At 49.8% G+C, this 24,171-nt stretch overlaps 2 annotated features.

Moving 5' to 3' along the window:
• Positions 12,805-13,588: an enhancer, noted in NCBI's record as "H3K4me1 hESC enhancer chr1:4659710-4660493 (GRCh37/hg19 assembly coordinates)". NCBI's record gives its function as "activates a minimal SCP1, AML or CMV promoter by ChIP-STARR-seq in naive H9 embryonic stem cells {active_cell/tissue: H9 hESC(naive)}" and the evidence as "EXISTENCE:reporter gene assay evidence [ECO:0000049][PMID:30033119]".
• Positions 13,589-14,371: an enhancer, noted in NCBI's record as "H3K4me1 hESC enhancer chr1:4660494-4661276 (GRCh37/hg19 assembly coordinates)". NCBI's record gives its function as "activates a minimal SCP1, AML or CMV promoter by ChIP-STARR-seq in naive H9 embryonic stem cells {active_cell/tissue: H9 hESC(naive)}" and the evidence as "EXISTENCE:reporter gene assay evidence [ECO:0000049][PMID:30033119]".

The following is a 24,171-nucleotide window of genomic DNA, read 5'->3' on the forward strand; positions in this document are numbered from 1 at the left end:
ACCACACTCACATTTTGCATCTGGCTGGATTGGGAGAAACTTCTTGTTCAAATGCTCCTGCTGTTTTTATAGCACAGTCCCTTGAATACATGCCAACTGCTTTATCTAGACACCAAACCACGTCAATAGACCAAACCAGGCTGAGTGAATGTTTTAGACCTTTCAGGGGGATCTTGACTGCTAGCACCTCTTCTCTCTCAGCCAGTTTGGGATATCTACATCCAGGCAAGAAGTTTCCACATTGTCCCCAGTGTGTGACTGACCACTTTCGGGGATGAACAGGTGTGTGTGGCACAGTCTCAGGCCCCAACTCCACCCACGAGGGCAGTGGCCACACCCACCAGAATGGTGCCATCCAAGAGGTTAATTCTTGATCCTACAGTTTAAAAGGTGGCAACTGATGCTTCCTAACGGGATATCCTTTCCTTTGCCTTCCTTCCCTTATCCTCCAGCATCCAACAAAGGCAGCCAGATGGGCTCAGTGGAAATGATGTGGCTTCAGAGTGAGTTCTTTTTGAAAACTTCTAAATGGCAGGGTTGGCGCTGGGCGTCACCCCCATTCACCCAACCCCGGTACCTTAGCTGAGCCCAGAAGAGTATCATTTGTCAAATTTCAGGCTTAAGCTAACAGGGCCAGAATGAAGCTGCAGGACCCAGAAGTGCTTTAAAGACCAGAATAGATGCATTTCCCTTTAAGCCCTGAAGCTCTGCTGGAGCATCACTGTTCTGTGCGGGAGACGCGCAAGGGGAGAAGACAAGGCACACACGTGATACCTTTAAGAGTAAACAAGCTTTATCCCACGTAAACGGCAATGCAGATATAATAAGAAAATTAATAAAATAAGCAAATTAAAATAAGCAAACGACATAATAAGCAAATGATATAATAAGCAAATTGCAATGGGAAGGGGAGAAGGGAAAAGAGATATATATATTTACACTCTCCAGACTATGGAGGATTCACCATCAGACTGGGAAGCAACAGCCTGGACTCCAGAGTCGGCCTCTCATCTGTGCACAGAAGAGGAGAGGTCTCATGAAGCTTTGGCACAGTCTAAGGCCCGAGCTCTTTTCGTAACAAGTTGTTTGGCATGAGGCCCATTCACGAGGGCCCTTTACAACTGGGCTCAAGGAAGACAAAAAGGTCAACTTGTTTTTGCAATTTGTCTATTGTTTTTCAATAACTAACATATAGGAATAGATTGAAATATAAATTTCTCTGAAACAGCACTGGATGGACGCCTCAAGCGGCTCACACAATCTGTTCCAGGACTTGGTGATCATTGTTGGTGTCCACGTTCAATTGAGTTCAAATTTGGTATTTAACTTTTCCTCCACATTCGGCCTCCATTTAATACTCAGTTATAGGAAAATACCCTTACAGATACATGGGGAAGGCATAGTTGATATAGGTTACAGATGCAGTATAAGCACAGAATTAAAAACACAATTAATAAAAACCACACCCAGCATGGCTTTGCAAGGAGAGTCATATTGTGAGAATTGTCAGGGATATACACACAACATTCAGTATGCAGTAAGGTGCAAACCCCTCCTTGGACGGCGGTAAGCATATCTAATGCCATTCCATGTTGCAACACAACAGTATGCAGCTGAGCAAATTCATCTGATAACAATGTAAGTCCAGTGCTACTATCATTAAGAGCCTTTTCTACGTGAAAACTTAATATTTAAATTTGTTGCTGAAACAGGATTGCACCGGCGGCAGGGGAGAATATTGTGATAGGGTACCACCACCAGGGAGTCTGGCACATCCGCAACCAGCGGTGTTTGTAAGCATCTAGATTACTGGGGAGGGGAATATTATCCCAGATGGTGAATGGAATTAATGGCCACCCCCAAGTGCATCTTCCCGACCAATGTGGAGGCAGGTATCACCACCTGTAGGATCCACATACCCAGCGGGTCCCCCAGGGAATAGGAAGAGTTCTACTACAATTGTATTGCTGTAATGTGTAATTTAAGTAACAAGAGTGCTGTGTCTCATTTGGGCTTAGGAAAAAATAGACAGTTTAGTTTGGTTAAAAAAGTCCAGGTTGGATTACAAATGTTATTATCCTGTACCCATTGGCATTGGCATATCCATTCAGAAATGTTAGCAGGGATGATTCTCCGAGGTAGCCCATTCCTGGCGGCCTCCGGCAGCTTGATGCATAGCCAGTGCCGACTGCAGTTGGCTTCCGTTGCAGCAGTGGCTACCCAGTTGTTGAACTCATTCCCAGCCTCAGACATGATGACCCAAGTACTGATTTCTAGCAGACAGATTATTCGTAATAACAAAACTGGAGGGGAACATGACATTGTTTTTCATCTTTAGGAAACTGTATTATGCCTTCATTTTTTGCTCCTATAGCTACAAGGTCACCAGCCTTAGGGGCGGGACCTGATGGACACTGCACCCATATTTTGGCTCAAGGTTTTAAGTTGCCCACCCACTCCGATGGACCCAAATTTTCCGGTTCTATATGTTGTTTCTATTGGGGCAGAAATTTCCTCAGGGGTTAATTGTTGACAAGGTACCACTAACAATTGAGCAACCCACATCTGCGGATTTATAGCAAAAGAATCTGGAGTGGTATTGTATAAAATGAGCTTTAACTCTCCCCAGTAATCACTATCAATTATACCACCATACCTTATAATGCCTCTCATTGTAAGGCTTGAACGTGTTGTAATCCATTCATCCGCATTCAAATTTGCAGTTATGGTGGAAGTGTTGGTCTGTTGATCTGCCTGCTGATTAAATAGTCTGTTAAGAGAAAGCAGAGATGCTTGAGCATCAGCATGGAGAACAGTGATAATGGTGGTGTGCGCCAGGATCCAGATATCTTCCCAGTATTGTTTTCCCCAAACCTCTTTATTCCCAATTAACCATTTGTTTCATTGCCATTGGGGCATCCAGGTAGTAAGACCATTTGCTACTGACCAAGAGTTGGTAGACATGTGACAAATCCCTCTGGCCTCCTCCTAAATAGCTTGGAGGACGGCTACCAATTCAGCCAGCTGGTGCTCCCACCGCTTCCTTCGTCAGAACCAGTGAGTTCTAGGGGAACTCAGGATCCAAGTCATAATCAAAAAGACATCATGGTTGAAGCAAGGTGCTCTGTTTCCAGCAAGGCCCAATAGCAAGCTAACAGTTGATTTTTGAAAGGGGTATAAGCTTTGCCGGCCTCTGACATCTTCTGGTTCCAAAATTCCAAAGATAGCTTATTCCCATCTTGTTTCTGCCTAAGGCTCTTGTTAGCATATTGATCTAGGACAGTTACTTGCAGTTCTTTTTTTTTTTTTTTTTTTTTTTTTTTGAGACGGAGTCTCACTCTGTTGCCCAGGCTGGAGTGCAGTGGCACAATCTCGGCTCACTGCAAGCTCCACCTCCTGGGTTCACACCATTCTCCTGCCTCAGCCTCCCGATAGCTGGAACTACAGGCACCCGCCACCATGCCCGGCTAATTTTTGTATTTTTTTTAGTAGAGACGGGGCTTCACCATGTTGGCCAGGATGGTCTCAATCTCCTGACCTCGTGATCTGCCCGCCTCAGCCTCCCAAAGTGCTGGGATTACAGGTGTGAGCCACCGCGCCCGGCCGTTACTTGCAGTTCTACTGGCCCATCCCGTAAGGGCCATAGATCCAGGGCCGGTTGCACTGCTTGTTTAGCCTGTTAAAAGCCGTGCTCTCTTTCTCTCCCCAGCGAAAGTCGTAGCGTTTTCTAGTGACAGCATGCAGAGGTTGTAAAATGTTACCCAAGTCGGGAATATGATGTCTCCAGAATCCAAACAAGCCAACAAATGTTTGGGCCTCCTTTTTAGTGGTAGGGGTTGCAAATTCTAGTATTTTAGCCTTAGCCTTTGGTAAAATAAACTATTTCCCTGCATTCCATAGAATGCCAAAGAATTTTACAGTTTGTGCAGGTCCTTGAATTTTACTAGGGTTAATTTCTTATCCTTGAGATAGGAGCTGGGTTTTTACCTGCTCCAAGCCCCGGTTGACTAGTTCTTCAGTTCTACCCTGACTAGGCCACTTGGACAGCTGCTTTCTTCAGCAATAGGCTGACAGCTTTGAGCTTGATCAGTCAAGACATAGGCCTGGCATTGGGCCAGGGCCAGTCTGGAAGTCAGATTCACGTTTTCCTTTTCCAGCTTACATTTCTCTTGAAGCAACCAGTTTCTATCTTGACATATCAACTCATAAGCAGTAAGCAAGCACCTTCCATGCCAGGAAATTCCCTCAGCGTCCCCTTTACCAACGGGATTCCCTGCAGAGCCTCACACACAGCCAATGGTTCAAAATGCACTAATTTACACCCACAATTTTCCCAAAGGCCAGTTCCCTTGGATCACTCAATGGCCAAAAGGGAGAACCAGGGGAGTTCCCATCCCAGGATATGGGAAGTCCACAAGCTCCCAGCCCGGTCCTTGCAGCCGAAAAATGGCATGCATTCGCTTTCGGATCCTGTTCCTGATGCCAAAAATGTTCTGTGGGAAACGCGTGAGGGGAGAAGAAAAGACACACACACAATACCTTTAAGGGTAAACAAGCTTTATCCCACGTAAATGGCAATGGAGCTGTAATAAGCAAATGATATAATAATAAGCAGATTGATATAATAAGCAAATTGCAATGAGAAGGGGAAAAGGGAAAAGATATTTACACTCACCAGACTATGGAGGATTCACCGCCAGAGTGGGAAGGAACAGCCCGAGCTACAGAGTTGGCCACTCTTCCTTGCACAGACAAGGAGAGGTCTCATGAAGTTTTGGTGCGGTCTGGGACCCTCGCTCTTTTTGTAACAAGTTGTTTGGCATGAGGCCCAGTCACGAGGGCCCTTCGAGACTGGGCTCAGGGAACACAAAATGTCAGCTTGTTTTTGCGATTGTCTATTGTTTTTCAATAACTAATGTATAGGAATAGACTGAAATAGAGATTTCTCCGAAACAGCACTGGATGGATGCCTCAAGTGGCTCACACAACCTGTTCTAGGACTTGGGACCATTGTTTGTGTCCATGTTCAATTGAGTTCAAATTTAATATTTCACTTTTCCTCCACAGTCACCCAGCAAGGTGATCCATGCTTGCAACCAGGACAAAACAAGCATGCAGTAGGCACCCAGTTCCCAACAGCATCTCCTGCGTTTCAGCAAAACCGTGTCAGGTTTTCTACTGAACCAAGGGGGCCTCTTTCCCCAGAACCAGTCCTGGCCACTTTCATCTCTGAACAAGGACTCTTGGAGATGCGGCACTAGAAACACGCATGCTGTCTTGGTTGACCAAGATCAGTGGTTCTGCCATCCACAGGCACCAAGTAGCCTTGAGTAAATCCTCCGAAAACGGGGAGCAGTAGAGGTGGGGCCAACGCGTGACGATGGGCCTGAAATTGGCACCCATTCTTGGGGAGCTTTCACGTGGGTTTGGGATTCCGTTGATGCCGCCCTGCTCCTCAGCAGCACTGGGAAGCCGCTGAGTCTCATGCGGGCTGTTGGGTCCTGAGTGCTGCACGGCCCTGCAGAGGGGCTGCTCTCTGAAAGCTGCCCTGACCCCTCCCTCTGCCTGTTAGGTCCTGAAAGCAGAGCCAGCCAGTCACCTGCTTGTAATGAAAGCTTGTGTCTCCAGTCCTCCAGTTTTGCTCTGACAAGGACAGTTTCAGAGCCCCAAGCTTCATGTTACCAAGGAAGCATTTTCTCTCCACTTGACTCCAGGTGCCCTGTCCTTGTCACTGAGGGATCTCTCACCACAGGGCAATGAAAGAGGGGTAAAACTAGGCCTCCAGGGAAAGAGGGGGAAAGAGAATGGGGCAATCCATGATGGGAATTCCAGGGCGGGCATTCTAGGGAGTAATCTCTCACTGCCGGGTGAGGCAGCCTTCACACCGGCTGCTTCCTCTGCCTAGATGCTGTCACCCAAGCTTCTCTGTAACTCCCACCTGGAGACGCTCCCTCTGGTCTCTGCTCCAGTGAGACCTCCCCGTGGCCCTATTTAAATGGCAGCTTCCCTCAGTGCCACCGCATCGTCCACACCCCAATGCCCCTACTCTGTGATTTATTTTCCGCTCAGCACCTGTTAGCCTGTCGTCCATGCTTTGTGTTGACTCAGGTTTTGTTTGCTGGTCTCCTCGGGCTCCCCCTGGAATGTGAGCTCCGTGAGGGTAGAGTATGAATGACTCTTGTTCTCGCTGTTTTTCCTGTGCCCAGAACAGTGCCTGCTGCTCAGTCAATGCCTGATGATGGAGTGAACAGATTTCTGCTTTCTGTGGCCACCTCTGGGCCACAGAAAGGCCCAGAGGTTACAAGCAACCTCTGGTCTTTGAAGAAGGAGCAAAAGGACAGAGAAGTATGAAAAGGAGCCCCGTTTGGATGCACCCACTGAGCACTGAAGGGGAGGACTCTTAGGTGGCCCCATCCTTTGCAAACAGGCTCAGTGGTTCTCCCGCGCTCACCCCAAGGCCCAGAATCCATGCATACATGTAGGGTGGGGCAGGCCGGCTCACGCTGACACGTCCAGCCTCTGCCCAGCTCCTCTGCTGGAGTCTCTGCAGGGAATTTGGCAGAGCTTGGTCATTCCTTCACTAATTCAGCCGTTGTAGAAAAGCCACCCAGTTAACAGGTCTGAGCCATTTCCTCTCATCCTGGGGACTAGAGGTGACTGCCACTTTGAGGCCAGTTAAGAGTTCTTGGCCCTTCCTGGAAACCCTGCACTGCTGGGAAGTGGGTGGACACACACTTCTGAGAATGAATTCCAAGCGAATTTTCCCATCATTTCTTTCCCCCTAGCAGTGCAAGGCTGGGGCACACAGGGAGAGAATGTCTCTCTCACATGTCAACTCCCATGGTCTCAACTAGGCCTCGGGGGAAAGAGAATGGGGCATTCCAGGATGGGAATTCCAGGGTGGGCATTCCAAGGAGTAAGAGGAATTCTGGGAAGGAGGACACTCGTGATGCATGCATGGCCCATCCAGAAGGTCCAGGATCATCTCCCCAGCCCAAGCCTTTAATCACATCTGCGAAGACCCCCCTCTTCCTATAGAAGGTGACACGGTCCCAGGTTCTGGGAATTAGGACACAGACACCTCTGTTCAGCTGACCACAGCCACTGGGGGACCCACTGTTGATCCCCCATCCATTCTGATAAAGGCTTTCATGATGTCAGAAACCATGAACAGCTCATCTCCTGATCCTCCACTGCGAGTTTGTGAGCATCTTAGGGGCGACATCTGAGGGTCCATCCTGGTGTTGATGTGTCATAGGTGTGGGGGCCTGGTCTGAGGCTGAACGCGCAGCAGGACCAGCCTCTGGCCCTCCCCAGCTGGAAGGGGGGAGTTTTGCACATCTTGCTCTATAGCTCACTCTCCCCTGCTGCTCCCACTGAGGCAGTGAGTTCCAGACTGCTCTGGGGGTTACAAGCAACCTCCGGTATTTGCAGAAGGAGAAAAAGGGCAGAGAAGTATTAAAAGGAGCCCAATTTGGATGTATCCACTGAGCACTGAAGGGGAGAACTCTTAGGTGGCCCTGTCTCTTTGCAAATAGCCTCAGGCACTGCAGGCCCCTGAGGCAGCCCCCAGCTGGGACCCTCACTCAGCTCAGCTCAGCTCACAACAGGTAGCAGAGCTGTGCCGACCAGGTAGCCTTGCCCTCCTGGGAAGACAGGGACACCTGCACGAGCCTGAGCCCTCTAGTGGAAACAGCAGCCATCGGCCATCAGGCCTCTGCAGGCACCTGGTCCCTCCTGTTGTTGTCTGCACAGCCTGCCCCTCCAGGCCGCCCCCACGCCTGGGTTCTGCCTGCACGCCCAGGCTCAGTGGGGAGGAGTGAGCCCAACAACTGTTTCCCAACCCTGTGCAGACAGAGCCCTGGCATCTCACCGTCCCTTCCAAATGCCAGAACCCGCCCTGGGCACCCATGCCCTGATGGGTCCCAGCCCCGGGTGACGCCCTCCTTGCATGGAGTAGGGACCCAAGCATATGCGGAAACACTGTGGCCGGGCCCAGGCTCTCTCTCAGTTTTGACACTGTTGCAGGCCTGATGACCCTTGGGGACACAGTCTCACTGGGTGGCAAGATGTCCATTCAGAATAAAATAAAATTAAAAATTAAATTAAAACTCAACAAGCTCGTGCACATGCAGTCACCTGCATATTTTGCAATTCGGAGAATAACAGGCGGTTTTCCAAAATCAAACTTCAAGAAACATGTCCCACATCATCCCCAACATAACCATAAACCTCACTCAAAGGAATGGCAGTCCCACTGGAACGCAAGGCCCTCCGGGTGGCTGAGTCAGTGTGCTCTGTCTCCAGCTCCTAGAAGGAGGCCTGGCTTGCAGCAGGTCCTCCATAAACATCATCTGGAATCCAACCTTGGGATTCTCCAGCATTTGTCAGCCACCCCACCTCTTCCCATGGATCTCTGGGCCTCCAATTTTCCTTCTGCAAAATGGAGCTTACACTCACGAACATGCTTGTGTTTGCAAAAGGAGTTACCAGATGTTTAAGAAATTCTGGGTGCCAATTAACAAGATTCTAGCTTACGGCACCAAGTGAGCAGTGCCACATCTTAGCACCAGCGGCTGCGTTTGCTCCTTCGGTGCCTTCACGTGTGTGCGATGGTGACTCCCCAGGCAGGGATTCCAGACAGAGATTCCAGTCAGAGATTCCAGGATTTCCATAAACCCCAGCCACCTGTGTGCTGCAGGCTTCTCCGGAGTGCATGGAATATTCATTCCACAGGTATTTATGGAGGACCTGCTGTAAGCCAGGCCACCTTCTAGGGGCCGGGGACAGAGCATACTGACTTGGCCACCCTGAGGGGCTTGCGTTCCAGTGGGACTGCCGTTCCTTTGAGTGAGGTTAATGGTTATGTTGGGGATGGTATGAACATGTTTCTTGAAGTTCAAAGCTGGTGCTGTGAGCAGCGGGTCCTCCGAGAACAGGGCTGGAGCCAACTTGCACCATTGCACTTCCCATGACGCTGGGCCTGGGGTCCTGATCTTGAGAATCTACCATTTATACAGTGATGTACAGGCAGTCCCCTCTGGAGCCCTCTATCTGGGCAAGGCCTCTGCCCAGAGGAGCCGGCTGAGGACAGAGTAATTTCCATGGGAGCATGGAGGCTGGCTGTCCTCTCTGTGAGACTTGCTGGGCCCCACACAGCTGGGGTGCTGGAGGCCTTTGCTGGGGCTTTTGAACATCAGGGCCCAGGGCTGCCACGGCTGGGTGTGGAGTCCTGGGCAGGCTCAACGCATCATTTATTCCTCAACGTCCCCCATCTGGAGTGGGGGTCTTGGACTTCCTCCCATCTCAAGGCATGTGATAACTAGGTGTGGTCAGCAAGTCACCCTGCAACTGTGATGTCCCAGCCACCCACTACAGTCTGAGCTGGGCCAGTGGGCACTCCCAGGCTCAGAGGACATGGCTAAGGAAGGGTCCACAGGACACTGGCACAAAAGTGCCTTGAAGTAGCCCACATTGATACTACCAGGAAAATCACTCAAAAGCCCCCGACTTACTACACTTAGTAAAAGCTGCCAGTGTTGCAAGCACACTGTGAGTGGCGTCCTAGAGGGTCCACGACACAGAAAGCTCTCACTGAGCAGCGCTTCCTCTGAGAACAGGGCTGGAGCCCGGCTTGCATCATTGCACATCCCATGTCACTGGGCCTGGGGTCTTGGTCTTTAGAATCTGCCTTTTACACAGTGATGAGCAGGCCATCCCCTCTGGAGCCCCCTCGGCCAGCCCTGGCATTGCTTGTTCCCCGACTGTGGTGCTGTGTCCTGGGCACTCTGAGGATTCCCTTCTTCTTGAAGGGTATCAGAGCCCGGTGGGGTCAGCCACCTGTGCGGAATCCTCTCCAGACAAGTCAGCTCTGGTGCAGAGGCGGCTCGTGGCTTGTGGAACATCAGAAGACAGAGGAGCCTCCTGGGGACTGAGCTCCAGCACCAACAAGGCCGGGCCCCTCCCAGCAGGTTCCCACATGGCCTTCTCATCAAGGGCTCCTTGGAGGAAACCCAGCTGTGTGCCGACCACAGAGAACCTCGCTCAAGCTAGGAAAGTTCTTGGACTGCTTAATAAAATCGCAATGTTTGTTAATAAAATCATACTTTAGTTGCCCCGAGGGACGTATGATTTAAATAAATGTTGCAGGTGGGTATTGTTGATTTAGAAATGACTTAAACGTCTCCAGCTCTGGGACTGGCACCAGAACACAGGGGTCACCAAGCACCCTGCCTTTGGAGTGTTCCCGAACCGGCAGGAGGGAAGGGACAGGTCCATGCACAACCCCTCCCCAGGGACTTGTATTTGGGAGAGACGCATCTCCCCCTTCCCATCTACCAGGGTAACACGTGTGTGGATTTCCTTCCAGAGTCCTTTTTCACAGTCACCATTTCACAATTATGTCATCAGATTTTCTAGGCAAGACCTTGTAAATCACTACATATTTACTTATCAAATAGTAGGTATTTGAATACCTGCTATCTAAATACTAGCTGTACCTCATATTTAAACTTATTAAACACTGGGTATTTAAACTTGCTTATCAAATCCTAGGTAGCTGAATACCTACTTATTTCAATACTATCTATACCTCACATTTAAACTTAGCTATTAAATATTAGGTGTTTAATTTAAACTTACGAAACGCTAGGTATTTGACCATCTCACGCCAGTTAGAATGGTGATCATTAAAAAGTCTGGAAACAACAGATGCTGGCAAGGATGCGGAGAAATAGGAATGCTTTCACACTGTTGGTGGGAGTGTAAATTAGTTCAACCATTGTGGAAGACAGTGTGGAGGTTCCTAAAGGATCTAGAACCAGAAATAACATTTGAGCCAGCAATCTCATTACTGGGTATATACCCAAAGGATTATAAATCATTTTACTATAAAGACACATGCACACTTAAGTTTATTGCAGCACTATCTCCAATAGCAAAGACTTGGAACCAACCCAAATGCCCATCAATGATAGATTGGATAAAGAAAATGTAGCACATATACACCATGGAATACTATGCAGCCATAAAAAAGGATGAGTTCATGTGTTTTGCAGGGACATGGATGAAGCTGGAAACCATCATTCTCAGCAAACTAACACAAGAACAGAAAACCAAACACTGCATGTTCTCACTCAAAAGTGAGAGTTGAACTATGAGAACACATGGACACAGGGAGGAGAACATCACACAACAGGGCCTTTCGGAGGGTGGGGGCAAAGGGGAGGGAGAGCATTAGGAGAAATACCTAATGCATGTGGGGCTTAAAACCTAGATGATGGGTTGATAGGTGCTTCAAACCACCATGGAACTTGTATGCTTATGTAACAAACCTGTACGTTTGGCACATGTAAAATTAAAGTAAAATTTAAAAATTTTTACTTGTAAATTATTACAAGTAAAATTAGCACATGTAAAATTAAAGTAAAATTTTAAAAAATAAATTTTATAAAAAAGAAATCCTAGGTATTTGAATACCTAGTGACTAGTAGGTATTTACTTCCCTAGTCCCTAGTAAATTACACATCACCTAGTAAGTTGCAGGCTCCAGGCAATATGGGAGAAGCTATAAACACGTGGGTGCTTGGCGGTGCAGTAGATCCCCTCCTCCACTGACTAATCCACTTTCCTACGCCCATCTTGTTGTCCATAACGAAAACCCAAGCCCTAACAAAATTCCAGTGATTGCAGGAAGCTGTCAGTAACCCGTGGGTTCTTTACTCCTATCTGCCATGGGTCTGCTGTGCTGAGCACTGAGAAGGCAGAGGTCGCGTTGCAGAGAGTAGGGGCTGCCACGGACAGCTTTGGGACTGAAGAGAGACATGGTCAGGAGCTCCAAAGGAGGGTATAGTGTGTCCCAGAGGAGACAGGCTATGTGGCCTGGCTGCAGGGGCCAAGAAAGTGGGGAGACGGAAGACTGGCCATGAGCTGGAGCAAGGCCCTGGGAACTGAGGGAACATCTCATCTTTTGCTGAAGGCGCTGTTGGAAAGGCCTGGAGAGAGCTGCCACCTGAGCTCCAGGGCAGGGGGCTGGAGGTAGATTTGGCTGAGTTTGGCTGGGACAGGGCAAGCAGGGGAGGCTCTGGAGCCAGAGAGACGGAGGTTGTGCTACCACCAGCTGCACATCCTGGACCAATGGCTTCACCTCTGAGCCCACCCGAAAAGGAGAACTTCAAGAAACATGTCCCACATCATCCCCAACAGAACCATAAACCTCACTCAAAGGAACGGCAGTCCCACGGGAACGCAAGGCCCTCCGGGTGGCTGAGTCAGTATGCTCTGTGAGAATTGCAGAGGGACAGAGAAAGTTTGAGCCCGGCCGGGTGCGGTGGCTCACGCCTGTAATCCCAGCACTTTGGGAGGCCGAGGTGGGCGGATCATGAGATCAGGAGATGGAGACCATCCTGGCTAACACGGTGAGACCCCATCTCTACTAAAAATACAAAAAAATTAGCCGGGCGTGGTGACGGGCGCCTGTTGTCCCAGCTACTCGGGAGGCTGAGGCAGGAGAATGGTGTGAACCCGGGAGGCGGAGCTTGCAGTGAGCCGAGATCACGCCACTGCACTCCAGCCTGGGCGACAGAGCGAGACTCCGTCTCAAAAAAAAAAGAAAAAAAGAAAGAAAGTTTGAGCTCATCCTCCATTCCCTATTATGAAAGGCTCTGAAGGTAGATAGTTTAGAAAGGGCTGCCTCGGGCAGGGGGCTGCATAGAGCGATGAGTCTATGGTGACTTGTGTTTTACGTGCCCTTCAGCGTTTATGAAGCTGGGGTGCCACCGTCTCGTTTTATTCTCACCAGTGCCCTGTGAAGAGAACCAGGCAGATTCTCCGATCCCTGTGCTATCCACGAGATGTGTGGCGTGCACAGTGATTCGTGACTTTTCGCACAGGATGTGTCAGGAGGGAGATGCTCACAGGGTGTTTGTCCTGGAACGCTCCCACCTCTTCCCTGCCCAGCTCAGCACCGTGGGGACAGGAGTGGGACACGAAGACAGAGGTCACTTTTGACGGGGGCTTTAGCTGGGGTCTGCTGAGTGCATCTGTGGGGTGGGTTTGGGTTTCTGCCTCTGGGACTTGCCTGAAGCGAGGCGTGTGCACGATGCTTGTGATTGTTAATGAAGCCTCCTCAGCGGTGTCTGCGACTCCCTAACAGCCTGTGGGTGCAGGCTTGGTGCTGGTGAGGGTGACGTGGCAGCTTCCGCCTCTGCAGGGTCGGCCGGCCTGCCCCTTACCAGCCGCAGGACCAGCCGGGAGAAGGCTGGAGGCGGGTCCCACTGCCTGAGGGCCTGGGTGCAGCCTCACTGCCCCACAAGCAGAACCAACGCCTGCGAGCTCCTTAACAATGCGCGGTGTGGGCCACCTGCGAGCTCCTTAACAATGCGCGGCCCCATGCCGGACCTACTGTGTTCCGACAGAATCCGCGGCATAGAATCAGCCCTGCGCCTCCAGAGCCCAATCCTAATGCCCCCACCTGGAAGGGGCTTCTGTTGTCCTGGGACCAGCTTCAGAATGGCAGGTGATGAAGCCAAGATCCGCGGATCCACCGAGGGTCAGGGGCCCGGCCTGAGTCGCTTGGCTGGCGGCAGCTCTGGAGTTCAGCCACAGTGAAGCTCCCTCCTGGGATTCCAGGACCCATCACAGGGCCTAGCTCGGAAGATGCGCTGCTTCCGGGCTTGCCAGCGTGTGGAGCATTTCACCGGGGATTTCTAAGATCGTGTGGCTCTTGCTTAGGTATGATTAAGACGTCTCATAAGATAAACTCTCACAGAGGAAAGAACACGTCTCCTCCTCCCCTTGGGGCCAGGCTTGGGTAGAGGAGGTACAGCCGCTCCTGGGATCTTCCCATGTCCCGGGCGGTTCTCCAGTGCCTGAGGCACAGACACCAGCCCCAGAGCCCCCACCTCAGCCCGGAGCCCTGCACAGGGCCTGCAAAGAACATGGGGGTGATTATTGCGGCGATACCTGGTGCTGAGACTCACCAGGTCTCACACAAGCATTAACTCTATCAACCCTCACAAAAGCCCACAAGGAAACTGGGGCTCAGAGAGGGTGATAAATGTGCCCAGGGTGGCACAGCAGGCACATCCAACCCAGGTCCTGCTGGTTCCAGGGCACACTGAGTCTGCTCCCCACCCCCAGGCTCTGCTCAGGATGGATGGGTGGGAGCTCTGCCCCTCCCAGCCCTTCTGGCCCAGGGAAAGGTTTCTCTGGCACCAGCAGCGTGGCTCTCGGCCCCTCTTCAGTTCTGTCTTCTTCCAAGCTGCCCACCTGTCATCTCTTCCCTTCCGCCCTCTACACTCGGAGTGGAGCCTGTTTCCAGCCTGCAGTCAATCACGTGCTGCTGGGTGCTCACCGTCCTGGGTGGGTGAGTCCGTGGCTCCTTGGAGGCTGGGTTGGTGATCTTTCCTGACTGTGGGTGCTGGCCGTCCTGGGTGGGTGAGTCCGTGGCTCCTTGGAGGCTGGGTTGGTGATCTTTCTGACTGTGAGTGCTCACCGTCCTGGGTGGGTGAGTCCGTGGCTACTTGGAGGCTGGGTTGGTGATCTTTCATAGCCTTTCTCAGAACAAGCTCAGACATGAGAGTGGGGCACAGCTCTGTTGGTCCAACCAAGTTGAGAAAAGGCAAAGAAAAGTAAATGGACAACACTCCACCCTTGCTGTTGCCCAAATCATAATTTTCATGCATCAAGATGGCTGTGGGGTCCTGAAGTCACTTGGAAATATGAAAAGGGAGGGGACAGATGCAAAGAGAATGCAGGCACATGAGTGGTGAGATTGTGTCCTCCCCGAGCCAGTGTCCCTCTGGATTCAAGCCCCAGCACTGCCATCCCTGTGGTTGTTGAAGGACACCCACTGCCTTCTTCCTGTCCCTGCAATTAATGAAAACAAATGCCACCTGGAGCCCGATGCTGTCTTCTTTTGGACTCGGCTGCCCTGGAAAATCAGCTCACCCCCTTCCCTGCCTTCTCCTTTCTGACTTCAAACAAATGGACAAAATCACACCCTGCTGCTTTCTGATGAACCAAATTCCCCGGCACTAATGGAGTGATTTCTGTTCAGTTCCCATCCATCATATTCCTGCCAGGTTCACTGGCTGCTGATGGAAACATGCAGTGGATGTTACTGTCAACACACAGCTCCAAGAAGCTGAGAATCAGGGGTCGGCTCTTTCTAGGATGTGACCTGGAGCAGCAGAAAGGAGTGGCACTCCCTACTCCCACCCAGCCTGGTGATTCAAGGGTCTCGGCTAAAGCTGTTCAGCCCCAGGGCTGAGTGTGTTTGGGGCTGTGACACCCTCTCTCTGGGCCATTTGCAGTCAGAATATCTTCCCATCTGGGGCTGCTTTGTCCTGGCAGGCCCAATAATGCACCCATGCCTGAGTGAGAGCAGCGGCTGCTGCACGGCAGCCTGACCTGGTCTCACCTTGAGGCAGGTGTACTCTAAGCTCCCAGGACCTTGACAGACACACACTATTCTCCCTTAGTGAGTTCTAGGATCCCCAGGCAGTCTCACTCCCCTTCTGAAAACAAGGGCTCCCAGGTAACCAAACAATCACCCCAAAACAGGCATGCATTTCCATCTGTATCTTAATTCCACACAAACAGTAGAATTTCTACAGGACAAAGAGGCTATAGAGATTGGAAACAAAGGGACAGCCTCTGCTGCCAGCTCATGCTCCCCCACCTCACCACTCCCCTTTCACAGCAAAAGCAAACTAAGTGTCAGACAGTGCCCTACACCCTGCCCCCAGCCTTTGTGCTGTAACTAGGCATCATCCTGGATAAGTCCAGGCCTCCATGAAAGAACTCTCCTGAGGACGAATGGTTTTCTTTCCCTTAGGTGGACATCTGAGTAGAGGCCCTGACAGGAGTCAGGGCGTGGCACCTAAGGCCAGGCCAGGCAGGTGCTTTGACTCTACGGGGGCACCAGCCCAGTGCGTTCTTGATGGACACTGTATCCTACGGCCGGCTCGTCTCTCTGCTTTATGTGTTTTCAGACTTGTCAGCCTGGTAGGTTTCCAATTGTTTTTAGCAGTCTTCTGTATGAAAGAAAAGGAGCTGCACCCAACAGTGTCATAAAAACCCGCGTATCAGCTGGCAAAACGCAATTCCTTCTAAAACCCGAGAATGATTTTCTAGATGGCTCATGGCAGAACCTTAACAGAAAGAAGCACATAGATACAGACAGCAAGAGGGAGATTCATGGAGTGAAATAGCTTTCGTGAACGTGGGCACAGGAGAATGAAGGTTGGTGGAAGCTGCCCTTCTGGTGGCCTTGGCAGAGAAACCAATACTAAAACTCGGGGAAAGGAAACACCTCCCATGAAAACCTTTAAAAAGAACACTTTGTTTTCGATGGCATCTGTGTTCTGACAAACGGCTGAGCACTGAGCAGGCCAGATCAGTTCGTTTTGCAAATTTTATTTTAAGTAATTGAGTCATCTAAGGATGATTTACCAAGTGCCTCTCGCATGGGAGTTTCTATACAAAGCCCTGGGCAACCCAGGGTGGAAGTTGCCAGCCCTGCCTTCAAGGAGCGTGGCTGGGCTGCAGGCATGCATGGCCTGAGGGGAGTCTAGCATTCTTCTGTAGTCAATTCTTACATCAATTTGTAAGAATGTTGAATACAGGTGTAGCTTGAAGCAGGGCTCAGTCACCCTGGACAGTTTCCAGTTCTCCCCTACACCCAAATGGCTCAAGCTGGTGCCCAGAGATAAGAACCCGGAGGCATCTCTTCTGCCCAGCACTTTCCTGTTTGCTTCCCTTAAGCGGACGATTCAAGCATTTGCCCATGATCTTAAAGTGACTCACACCCTGTTCCTTATATATACTGCCAGTTGCCACGTGCTCTCTCTCTGCCTGACTATGTCTCTGCCTGGGAGGACAGAGAACTGCCCTCCCCAACTCGCTGCTCCCTTCTTGCCCAGGATTTGTAAGTAAAAAGTCTTCAAACTTGTTTCCTACCGTGGTGTGCATTGAATTTCTGCCTTCCATCGGAGGATCTAGGGGCTGTCCCAGGCTCTGAGATGCCAGAGAGAACGCAAAGCCAGGCTCCCAGCACCCGAGCAACAGTCAGGCAGGCATAAACTGGACACGGCTCAGACAAAAGCCACCCGGGCATCTACCAGAATGACCAAGTTCCCCATGAGGGACGCCTGCTCATGGGTCTGACAGCCAGGCATTAGCCCGTCCACCAGGTAATAGAAGTTTCCCATGAAAGGTGAACTGTGAACACCACGTTTAGCTCCCCTTCATTTTCCATTAGGGCAGGATTGCCAACTGTTCTGATACTGAAACCCCAACTTGGCTGGTGGCTTGCAAAACATTTTCAACCAGGAAAAGGCAAAAAATAGAGTCAGCAGCATCTCTGGCGTCAGAGCCAAACTTGCCTCCGGTGGAAGGTTTCAGCCATGATCTCCAATCACACTTCGTTGCCTGATTCTCTATGCTTACAGTGCAAGCAAGGAAGAGGATTGGAAGCACCATGTGAGGTGGGCACAGCTCACAACCTGGAGGGTCTCAAGTGACGTGTTCGGCCCATGACCCATTAGCAATGTTATAGGAATCTATTTTCTGGTTAGAGGTTGGGTGGGTGGACTTCTAAAGGTGCAATGAGGATTCTTGTCTGGGAACAATTCTCAGTCTTGCTTGGTATCAGATGCAGCCTTGGGAGCTGGGACATTCCAGGGAACTTTATAGTTGACTGCAGAAAGGGACCATTCGGAGCCCCGCCGGGGACAACTCCCCACATTCCTAGTACCCATTCAAGGTCAAGTAAGTACTACCCCTGGAGGGGTTTGCTTTCATGTTTTTCAAAGTTGAATCATCTTCTGTCGACAGAAAAATGGCAGAATTCATTGTCCAACTCTGGCTGTATTTTGGGGGTGTCTCCCTAACAGGTGTTTGCAAAGATTTTCAGGTTTAGAGGAGTCACATAGGAGAACAACAGGCAGCTCTGGTTTTGCAGTTAACAAATGCACAGGAACATAATTTGGAATCTCTGTATGTATACATATCTAATTATAGTAACATAATACAAAAATATAATATTTAATATCTATGTTGATGCAAAGGTCGGAGAAACCTTTGAGCCTGCTGGTTTACCTTCCAAACTTAATGTAATAACCCTCAGGAGCATTGCAAGGGGACTTTGAAACTCTGGGCTCCTGCTTCTGGGCTGCAGCCTCCAGACATCCTCTGTAGTCTGTAACATAGCTATTGGGGGCGTAAGGGGTGACTCCAGCCATTCCAACATGTTTAGACTATGTTAATGATGAGGTGAGGCTCTGTGATCGGGAAAGTGACCCCTCTGGCTATCACATTTCTTCGGGAGCCTTTGTCCTGGTCCCAGAGGCTGACCAGACCACTGAAAAGGAGAAAACAGGAATGTTAATTATGTAGCTCCCATGCTACCCAGAGAATTTACTGAGCAAGAACCCAACAACTGCTTGGGAAAATTGAGGGCGCGTGCCCTTGGAGAACAAGGTTCTTTTGCACATTGCCCATACCGGTGCTTACAACAGACCTCACGGCTGGAAGAATCTCAAGCATGACCTGATAATAACATGCTCTTAGAAACGGGGGCTGAAATGACTGATGCTCTGCCAAGCAGTGGGTTAAGTGGATTCCAGGAATTGTTCCTGATTCTCAGCAGCAGCAACCTGCCTGGCATGTGGTCAATTCCATCCTCATCACTAAAACCTAACCTCTTCAAGGTCACCAAGGACTTCCACGTGGCTGAATCTAAGGGACGTGTCTGTCCTCATCATGCTCAACCTTTCTGCAGTATTTAGCACAGCAGGTCATCCTTTTCTCATGTCACCCCTCCCTGGGTCACTTCCTACCCCCCTGGCAGCTCCTCCCCAAACTACTTTGCTGTCTCCTGTTCCTCAGCTCAGTCTTTAGAGATCAGAGCACCCCATCTCCCTCCTGACTCCTTCTCATCTCTATCTCCACCCATTCTAACTTCATCATCCAACCCCATGGTTTTAAATCACCCCATGGACTGATGATTCACAAATGTCTCTCTCCTCCCTGTGGCTCTGGTCTCACACATCCAGCTGCTTGCTTGACTTCTCCACTTGAAAAAGCACCATACATCTCAAGCTCAGCATGTCCCAGGGACAGCCTGGTCTCCTGCCTGCCCTGGCATTGTCCCTCACTGTTCTTCCACCCTTCAATGAATCTGACCACCCCAAAACTCGGAAATCATTCCAGATACTGTGTTGTCTTCTCCTCCCACACTCAAATCCTCACCCAGCTCTGTGGCTCTCTGGCTGGGTCACTGCAAGGCTCGAGATCCCTGTACCTGCTGTATCTGCTGCACTTCCCCCATCGTGGGCCCATCAGAGTCCTGGATTCCTGCAGTAGCTCCCACCCATCTTCCCACGGCTTTTCATGCCTCAGAGCCTGCTCTCGACAAGGAGCCAGAGTGGCTTCTGTTTGGCTTCTTTGTTTTTAGTGTAAACCAAATCCATCGCTTTCCTCCTTAAAATCTTTCCATAATTTCCTGAGTTCTTAGAGCAAAACCTAAGCCCCTTAGTGTGGCCCACAAGACCCCATGTGGATGGGTCTCTGCTGGGGCATTTTCCTTGTCATGCCTCTGCCTGGTAGGTTCTTCCCCACCCTTAGCACATCATGTCTCACCAACCGGCCCCTAGGGCACCCCTTCTGTCCACCTCTCTAAAGGTGTTTTACACCTGTGCCTGCCCGTTGGTTTCCTTGGGATGCAACAACAAAGCACCTTAGCCCAAAGGGCTTCAACAACAGAACTTATTTTCCCACTGCCCTGGAGGCTGGAACCTGAGACCAAGGTTGGCAGGGTTGGTTCCTCCCAACATTTCTTTCCTTGGCTTGTAGACACCATCACCTTTCTCTGTCCTCACATGGTCATCCCTCTGTGTGTCTGTATCCTCATGTCCTCTTTTTATAACGATGCCAGTCAGGACCCACCCTAATGACCTCATTTTAACTTAATGGCTTCTTTACAGATGCAGTCTGCAAATATACCACTTTCTGAGCTCCTGGGGTCTAGGATGCCAACAGGTACAAGAGGTACAGCCCAGACCACATTGTCCTGACCCTCCACATCTCATCTCTCTGCTTCTTTCTCTTAAGTAGTCACTACGTTTTAGAATGACCTCGCTCTCTTTTTATTTTTTCACCTTTTTTGTTGGCTGTCTCCCGGGATGGATATTTTGTTTGTTTGCTTGTTTGTTTGTTTGTTTGTTTTGAGACAGAATTTCTCTCTTGTTGCCCAGGCTAGAGTGCAATGGCACAATCTCAGCTCACTGCAACCTCTGCCTCGGAGGTTCAAGTGATTCTCCTGCCTCAGCCTCCCAAGTAGCTGGGATTATAAGCAGGCACCACCATGCCCAGCTAAAAATTTTGTATTTTTAATAGAGACGGAGTTTCACCATGTTGGTCAGGCTGGCTGGTCTTGAACTCCTGACCTCAGGTGATCCACTCACCTCAGCCACCCAAAGTGCTGGGATTACAGGCATGAGCCACTATGCCTGGCTAGGATAGACATTTTATGAGGCTTTTCTGCTAGTTTGCCAAGTCCTCACCATCCATACCATGGAGGCTGCAATGACATCTTCTACAAATACTTGGGAAAGTTCCAGAGGAGAGGGGATTTCAGTGGAGAGGATGAAAAGTAGGAGGAACTGTTCTGGTTATTATTAGTCCCATGGAAAAGATGGGGAGGGCTCAAGGGCCAGAATCGCTGAGATGCCCAGACGTGGGCCATTCTGAACCCAAAGCTCATCACTTTCTCCTCTTCTGTCCCTGCCTGTAGGAATGGGCATTGTTGCTTCTCAAGCTCTGGGCAAAGGAGAAAAATCCCTGGTCACCTGTGCAGAACAGACGTGAGTGAGACTCTTACAAGGCCACCTGCCCAGCCCTGGTGGCTCCTAGTCCAGGACATGGAAAAGGGGCTGCTGCCCAGAAAGCCAGGAGGGCGAGAAGACCTTGAGAATGTCCAGAACACTGAGAACTGGATTAGGACCTAGAGGCACTGGGCCCCTGGAGCCTCAGAAGGATCAGATCCAGAAATGGAATTGTGCTGTCTGCATCCTCTCCCGGCCAGATCAGTGCAGAAGTTTACTCTGTGAATGACTCTCCTCTATCTGCTGTCAAAAACTACCACCTACTTGATGGCTTTAAACGGCAGAAATTTATTCTCCCACAGTTCTGGAGGTAAGAAGTCCAGAATCAAGGCATCGGCAGGGCCATACTCCCTCTGAAGGTTCTGGGAAAGGGTCCTTCCCCGCTTCATCCAAAGCGGACTCCTGACATTCCTCACAGATGGCCACATCACTCCAATCTCTGCCTCTATCATCACATCGCCTTGTCCTCTGTATGTGTTTGTCCCCAAACTCCCTCTGCCTCTCTCTTAAAAAGATACACATGATTGCATTTGGGGCTGCCCAGATAATCTAGGATAAGCTCTTCTTTTCAAGATCCTTAGCCTAATCACATTTTTTGCCATAAAAGGGAACATTCTCTCTTCTGTCACATAAGGTGGCATTCCTGTGTTCTGGGGATTAGGATGCAACCTGTCTCTCTGGGGCCACCTGTCAGCCCACCACACTGTTTTATGAGTTTCTTAAACAAACAGGTGCCATCTCTTGTGTAGATCAAGGGAAGAGCCTCTGCCTGTCTCACAGGCTGGGCAAAACCGCCCATAATAGCAGCATGACATTTGAGGTGGCTTTTCGGCTTGTCACAGGAATATTCTCAATATGAAAAGATAAGACCTTGGCGTTGGTGGGGAAAATAATGCTTCTGTCTTTCAGAGCAGGAGTGGCACAGAGCGGCCCTCTGTGCTTGAGGAGGGGAGGTAGTGGTTGTACTACAGAGGCTCTGTTGCTGGGTGGTGAGACTTCCCCAGATGAGGGTGAGATCAGGATTCAAAAAAAAAAAAAAAAAAAGAGCATGAAGGAGAGGACCTTAGGGGCCCAGCAGTTGGATAGAAACCAGGAGGCATGAAGCCCCAGAGAGAAACCAAACAGGGTCCTCTTCTCCCTATCTCCACAGTGGGGTGAACCAACCTGCCTGTCACACCCCACCAGCACACATGCTCTGCAGTTCTTCAGTGAGCTCACAGTTAACCTGTGGGTGCCTGGGAGAAGACACAGGTGACAGCTGCCCCTGCCTCGGGCCTCCCAGGGCCAGCCCCCTTGCTGCTCCCTCTGCTGTCCCTGGGCACATGTTGTCAGCATGAGGCTCAGGTAGCCACATCTCAGGGCCCGGAGTACCACTTTCCCTCCTCCCATCCTCCCTCCTGGTCCAGCTAGCATGTGCATGGGCTGTCCATAGGGAAAAAAAAGCCCAGATTAGAGATATTTTAAAATGAGTCAGTTTACCCCACCCAGGGGTAAGGAGGACCAGACCTCAACAATCCAAACCTACTTCCTTCTGGAATGTTTGCTCCCCTGAAGGACTGACAAGGTGAAGCTTGCCCCATTTTCCTTGTTAGGAAAACAAAATGCAAATGAGTTTTCTGAGGATTACTTCTGAGTATTAAGAGTCTTACCTAACATTTTAGCACACACAGGGAAGAGTAAGGGATGCATAGAGGGTGAGCTGAGAACCAACCAGGCAAGTCTTCAACTCCATCTTCAGTTCTACCCCGACCCTCCTTGTGACCTTAGGCCAGGCTGTAACCACTTTGGGCCTTTTGTCCTTTTAAACCTGTAGCGATGAAGCATGGTTTGGTAGAAATGAAAAAGCATGAGTTTTAGAACCAAACAGAATCACATTGAAACACTACCCAGTCGTGTGATCTTGGGAAAGTTTTTTTTAACTACTCTAAACCTAGTTCCTGAGCTGAAATAGACAGATACTATGTTCCTCATTGGGTTGTTATGAAAATTGGGAAAAGACACCTGAAAATGTATAGTCTAAACCCTGGCACATAAGCACTCAAAAACAGTGCTCTCTCCTCCTTTCCTGACTGGGACCAAGAACTAAACAACAGAAGTGAGTAGGTCAAGTTCAGCTCCACCCTTTGAAAAGTGATTTCATGGTCTTAGCAGTAAGGAGCTAAATATTTGCTTCTTCATCAATAGGAATTCAATGTTTATAAACTTTGGTAATTTAGATTGAAGGGATATGTAGTACATTAAAATGTCACTCAGAAATAATTTATATTCCCCAATCCATTAATATGAGGCATTGAAATGTCTAATTTTAAATGCTGCCCTCTAAATGCAGCCTTTGATGATCAAACTGGCCAGGCAGGATCAAGCCATCTGTGAATTCCTGCAGTGGCTTTTCTGTAGTAAGCTGAATTGTAGTTATGTAGCTTGCATCTCTCTTTTTCCAGCAGTACTTGAGCACTTCAAAAGGGGGCTAAATATTTGGCTATTTGAGCTGTGAGGGAGCCTGGGGAGGGGTCTGGGATGTGTTCACTGAGTGGTTGAGGTACAGATTTTTCTGCACTGACATGCACATTTCGTACTCCTGCCCAGCCAGATGTGTTCCCTTGCTTGTTGTGGAGGCTGTGTCCATTAGGAATCCACTGGTCACAATTCACCATGACCCACTTTAAACTGGCTGAAGCAAGGCAGGGCATTTGGAAGCCCAGTTAACTCCACTGTCTGGTCCAGGGGTGGGAAAGCCTCAACACCCACAGCCCAGTTATACTTCTTGATGAGTTCCCTAAATGCAGTAACAACATAACTCAATTGTTTGGCTTGAAACAACAGGTGTTGTCTCACAGTTCTGGAAGCCTGAGATCTGAAGTCAAATTGTGGGCAGGCCCATCCCTCCTCCAAAGGCCCTGGGGATGGCTCCCTCTGAGTCTCTCTCATAGCTTCTCATGGCTCCTGGCAATCTTTCTTGTTCCTTGGCTTGTGGCTGTATTGCTCCCATCTCTGCCTCATTCTTCACATGGCCGTCTTTACAGTGAGCCTCTTTGAGGTTCTTTTTATTCTCATAAGGACTCCAGTCATATTGCACATATAGCTCACCCTATTCTAGTATGACCTCATTTTTTTGGAGACAGGGTCTTTCTGTGTTACCCAGGCTGTTGTGCAGTGGCAAGGTCTTGGCTCACTGCAGCTTCGACACCCTAGGCTCAAGCAATCCTCCCACCTCGGCCTCCCGTGTAGCTAGGACCACAGGTGTGTGCCACCATAGCTTTTTTTTAAATTATTATTGTTTGTA

This window comes from Homo sapiens, chromosome 1, assembly GCF_000001405.40.
Source record: "Homo sapiens chromosome 1, GRCh38.p14 Primary Assembly".
NCBI classification, from domain to species: Eukaryota; Metazoa; Chordata; class Mammalia; order Primates; family Hominidae; genus Homo; species Homo sapiens.